The sequence below is a fragment of the Homo sapiens genome, chromosome 10 (assembly GCF_000001405.40).
Source record: "Homo sapiens chromosome 10, GRCh38.p14 Primary Assembly".
Classification (NCBI taxonomy): Eukaryota; Metazoa; Chordata; class Mammalia; order Primates; family Hominidae; genus Homo; species Homo sapiens.
This window is the reverse complement of record NC_000010.11, coordinates 130,507,648-130,513,317: the sequence shown is the minus strand read 5'-3', so window position 1 is coordinate 130,513,317 and position 5,670 is coordinate 130,507,648. Positions and strand designations below refer to the sequence as shown.

Sequence of the window (5,670 nt, the reverse complement as noted above, 5' to 3'; positions counted from 1 at the left end):
TGCTCATACCAGGGTGCCAGCTAGTTCAGACCAAGGGGCTCAGTGGCAGCAGGGGTCTGCTAGTCACAGGTTGTAGGCTTGGCCTCCCTGCTGCCATGAACTCCCCACTGTGACAGAGAACTCAGGACAACAGAACCTCAGGGTCCACAGAGCTGTGCTCTGGCACAGGGACAACAAGTGGCATTTGCAGACAAAGAGTCTGTGCTCTTCTCACTGGCCATGCCCCATTTTTTCCTTCCCACCTCAACCCTGGGCACCAGCAGGCAGAGAGAAGAACAGCAGGTGCTTTTGAGCCAAAGCCTGTCTGCACTGCACACAGCACACGGTAGACCCTGAAGGCTGTCAGCACCATCACTGCTGTGCTGTGGTCTGTAGGTGTCTCTTGAACTGAGAGTTGCCGGAGGTGCCAAGGATACGCTGAGCACTGCTATTAAGCAGCCCCACCTGCCTCCTCTTCCCAACAGGATGGCCTCGCCCTCCACAAGCCAGACTCTGGGCCCTAGTGCCACCAGGAGCCATGCGAGCCGCTGTGGCTCTAGTCCTAAGGATTGCTTGCACCAAGCCTGCATCCACACTTGCCTGCTCAGGGCATCTGCAATTAGGGATGGGGCCTGGATTGGCAGAGTGTGTGTGTACCCACTCCCACAGACTGCTGGGTGGCCCAGCCTGGACAGTGCACGGGAGCTCACTGGGCAGCAGGAACCCCTGAGAGACTGTCTCACATTATACTTCAGGGAATCAGTGCGGCTTCTGCCCTAACTCCACCTGTGCCCACAAAGTTAAGTCCACAGTAGGATCCCAACGTCATACTAAGTCCATTTCCGCACATCCCTTCTCCAGTCCCAACAACAGCTCTGCCAGGGAGCACCACACATCCAGTGTTGACAGACGAGGAGGCCAGGACTCAGACAGGCTGCCCAGCCCCGGGTCACATGGCTGAGCAGCACACAAGCCGAGATGTGAATGCTGGCCCAAAGCTGCCCTCTTCCCACAGTACTTCACGGCCCCAGGAGCAGGTGCAAGGGGCTGAATGTCTGTGTCCCCACCAGATTCATATGTTGAAACCTAACCCCTAAGGTGATGGGGTTACATGGTGGGGTCTTTGGGAGGTGATTAGGTCATGAGGGTGGGGCCTCAGGGATGGGACAGCGCCTTATAAAAGGAGCCCCAGGGAGCTCTCTCCCCGCCTGTGGGGATGCAGCAAGAAGGTGGCCGCCTGCAACCCAGAAGAGCCCTCCCCAGAACCCAACCATGCTGGCAGCCTGACCACAGACCTCCTGCCTCCAGAACTGTGAGAAATACATCTCTGATGCTGAAACCACCCAGTCAGCAGGACTTCGTTACAGCAGCCCAAGTGAACTGAGAAACCACACTGATATTTTCCGGCTGGGTCTGCGTCTGCCTCTGCTCCGTGGAGGCTGCTGTTCGTCCGTCTCTGGCTGGAAGGAATCACGCTCAGGGACACACAGCAGCTGCCCTCACTCACAGCACCATGGATAAAGTCGGCTCACTTACAAATATCATTTCTTTTCTTTTACTCATGTATTAGTCCCCTCCTCAATCTCTTCTTTCCCAAAACAAGGCAAAGTAATTCAATCAGATAATATACTGACAGTAATGCAGATTTGAGGAGGTCGTAATTTGGAAGAGGAGAGAGACGCCACCGTCCTAACCAGGGAGGCCCAGTCTCTCTCCATGATTGTGAATCCAACTGGACTCCGAATGTCCTGAAAGCCAGAGCAAGGAGGGAAATGAGAGAGGATCAGAAAGCTCTTCAGAAAACAACCACAGGTGCGATGGCTCATGCCTGTAATCCCAGCACTTTGGGAGGCCAAGGCATGGGGATCACCTGAGGTCAGGAGTTCTAGACCAGCCTGGCCACCATGGTGAAACCACGTCTCTACTAAAAATACAAAAATTAGCTGGGCATAGTGGTGGGCTCCTGTAGTCCCAGCTACTTGGGAGGCTGAGACAGGAGGATCACTTGAACCCAGGAGGCGGATGTTGCAGTGAGCCAAGATCGTGTCACTGCACTCCAGCATGGGCGACAGAGTGAGACTCTGTCTCCAGAAAGAAAAGAAGCACAGGGAAAGCATCTCTTCCTGGTGCCTGCAGACTGTGAGTGAGCCCTAGAATGACTGTTTTTCTTCCTGTCAAAGGCATTTGCCCCTCCAGACATGAACATGATCTGCCCCCAGTGACTGACAGATAAGGAAATAAAAGTGACCTGCAAAGATTCGGTTCTTCAAGCCCATTTAGCATGCTGTGGGTCACAGAGGGGACCGAACACAAAGGGGAGCATGGGGAACACAGAGCGTGGAGAAACCAACCCTGGCCCAGCACTCACATGAGGAGTCCGCTCATTCCTGCCTGAATAAATGTCTCTGAGCACCTGTCAACAGGCACACGCCGGGAGAGACAGAACCTCTCTCTGTGCTTGTCTCCCCTTCCCACTGCGAGGGCAGGACCCTAGAACATGATGGAGGAGGCTCGAATCTGAGGCTTCAGGAAAATGGAGCAAACAGCCGCCTCTCTGACAGAAAATGCTGTTTTGGCCACAGAATCCAAGTAGTTTTTCCACCATTTCATAGAGACCTGGGAACTGATTTCCTCAGTGACTTTGAAAATGACCCGTTATTGTGAAATGTTAGCCAAAATTTTGAGTGGAAATGTGTCCCCAGCATCCACCATTCCAGGAAGGAAGTGAAGTGGAGGGGGCGTTGTCTGGGAACGGGGTCTGCTGAGTAGTCACTGTGGTGTGGGCAGCCGCTGCAGTCACAGTCGGCTACTCCCCTGCAGACGCCCAGGCCAGGAGCAGACGCCCACACGGCCCGATGGACAAACACACGTGCACAGCGGAGAGCTGGGTTAACTGGAGTCACAGCAAGAGGACTTGGTCCCAGTGGGGCCCGAAGTGCTTTACAAACCGTCTATGTGGGTCTGCCCCTCCTACCAGTGGACACTGGGCACCTGCCCGGCATTTACAAAGCCCTCTCCCCGGCTCAATGTCATGAGTGCTGAGGAAAGAAAGACCCCATCTCACCACCACAGAGGCCTCCGGGGCATCCAGGCATGGCCCCCGGGGACGGGCTCATCAGCACCTGCTGCAAGTCCTCTCCATGTCCCCACAGTCACAGAGAGGGCAAGACCACACACCCTGCCCCACGGACGACCAGTCCCCTTCAACCCGAGCAAGTCCCGAGGGATTCAACCCATTCCCGACCTCACCTGATTTCCGGTTTCCTAACATCTTGCAAAGGGGAAGAGAAGAAGAGCTTCAGCTTGCTTAGTGGGACTGGTTTCCCATGCAAGAGACAGGAAAGCCAGAGGAAACACTGGCCCCACGGTCTGATGAGGAGCAGGAGAGGGTGGGGAAGGGCTTTCACATTCCTGCATCCCTCAGGTTTGCCAAATTTCAGGCCTAACCTGGAAGCCTTGAATACGAGGCTAGGGAGAAATAAAACACCTGGGGGCCAACCCCTCCCACCAAACAGAGGTGGGGCAGGTGTGCTGCCCAGGCCTCTCCCTCTGCTGACCCACACCTGCCCCTGCTCAGAGGTGAGAGGAGCGTGTGTGCGAACTCCATGTGCACGAACTCTGAGGAATACCTCCACTTAGAGCCTAAGGCTTAACTAAGCCTGAGGATACTGTCAGCTGCCACAGCCCTTCCCGGAGACAGAGAGTCCTTGAGATGACTCTCGGACCCAGACCTCCAGCCCTCTGCCCTCTCCCAGCTCTGATGCATCATCCCACCTGCTGCCTCACACCCAGGGGCGCATCCACGATGTTCACTGCCCGCCATTCCCAAGTGCTGCCTCTCCCCTCTGCCTTCTTTGGCAGCTCATGGTTTCCCCATTCTGTAGGATGTCACCCTCCACCTCGGGCCCTGTCAGACTCCCAGAGCTGCCCCTACTCCTCTACCAGCCTTATGCACGTATGCGGGGGTTTGCCAAGTGCTGCACCTGCTCCTTCCTTCCATCCCCAATTTCGGCAGCTCACCTGCTCCCCCTACCATGATGACACTCCCAGGTGCACGTTTCCCTTCACTGCATCCGGCCCACACCTGCCAGAGCTTCCTGATGTTTTATGATTATCATCTCATCAGGCCCCCTTTCCTGTGAAAAATCTCCAGCCTTCCCAGCCTCCTCCTGCCAGTCCCAGCAGACCCTTATCTCAGTACAGTCTCAAGGAGATCTCCAGCTCTGGCAGCCCCCACGTGTAAATCCTACCCACCTCCTGTGACCAGCAGGATGGCAGAACAGATTCCTTGAGTGGTCCTCTCATGGGAAATACTTATATTGGAGCAGAACAGATTCCTTGAGTGGCCCTCTCACGGAAAATACTTACAATGGTGCAGAACAGATTCTTTGAGTGGCCCTCTCATGGGAAATACTTACAATGGTGCATGAGAACCCTGTCATTTTAGTGCCGGCTGCATACAGTATTCTGTGAAGACAAAAACAATATGTAAATAGGAGCCCGGGGAGGTAAGACCAAGGCTGGTCTTGCCCTGGGGTTTCTGCAGAGCCTCGGGAGCCTGGAGCTTCTCCTTTGGTGGCTGCACGGACACATGTGGGGGCAGCAGACAAAACCCAAGGACCACTGGGGAATCCCAAGGGAGTTTTCCATATTAAGATAGAACTCAGAGGGCTGTGTCCACCTTTACATACAGCAAGCAATAACCCTTGCACACAGAAAACAAAGAAATGTATTTGCCTCAATTCTCACGTGGGGGAAGGAGAAAAACTTTCCCAGAAAACCACAAGCCAGTTCTCTTCCAGGTCTGCTGTCTGAATTCACTGTAGTATAGATCAAAACACTTCAAACAGGAAATTTTAATTACATCGGTGCCTAGTGGAAATGCTCCGGACGACAGGAAGAAGTAAGTGTGCAGCCTCTGGAGGAAATAAATCTCAACCCACCTCTCAAAGAAGTCCGTGGGTAGCGTTGAGGGAAAAGAGCAACCTGTCTCCCAGGTAAGAAAATAAATCGCGTGATTGCAAAGCAACAGAAGCAGACATGCAAACGTTTATTATGATTGATATTTTAAAGAAATAGAAGAAAGCTGTAAACAAGGAGCACAAATGATTTTTAAAAAAGAATTTCTAAAGATGAAAAATATGATGTTTAAAATAAAAAGCTCAGTGATCTCCAGGTCCAGGAAGATGGAACGGAGGCATAATTCCACCTGCCGAGTGTAACTAAAGACCCTGGACGTTGTTCATGGAAACATACACAGAGTTTCTGAAGGGTGCAGAAAAGACAGATGGATGAGGGACCCTGGGACCTGAAGAACAACACAGTAGTGAGTTCTCAGGGCTTGCTTTCACCTTACACATATCTCAGACTTCAGGTGGAAGCAGCCAGCAATCTGGAAATACTCACAGGTGCAGACAAAGAAAACCCCAACCAAAGTTTGCTCCCTGCAGGCAGTGGATCAGGACAGAGGCAGCCTGGAAGACAGAAAACTTTTAGGAGCTCTACTCTAGCTGACTACCACAGAAAAAAATCTGTGTCACCACCCCGTCCCCCGGCCATTGATACTAGCCAAGGCCAAGTGGGGAGCCTGGACTTCCACTTTCACGTGGTTTGATGGAGGTGCCTCAACCTCCCCACTGCAAGATGGCGTCAGAGAAGGCCTTGTAGGGGTCTGGGACATTTATATCCAGG

General features: G+C 53.2%; 1 annotated feature.

Annotated features, from left to right (window-relative positions):
- Positions 481 to 981: an enhancer, noted in NCBI's record as "H3K4me1 hESC enhancer chr10:132310601-132311101 (GRCh37/hg19 assembly coordinates)". NCBI's record gives its function as "activates a minimal SCP1, AML or CMV promoter by ChIP-STARR-seq in naive H9 embryonic stem cells {active_cell/tissue: H9 hESC(naive)}" and the evidence as "EXISTENCE:reporter gene assay evidence [ECO:0000049][PMID:30033119]".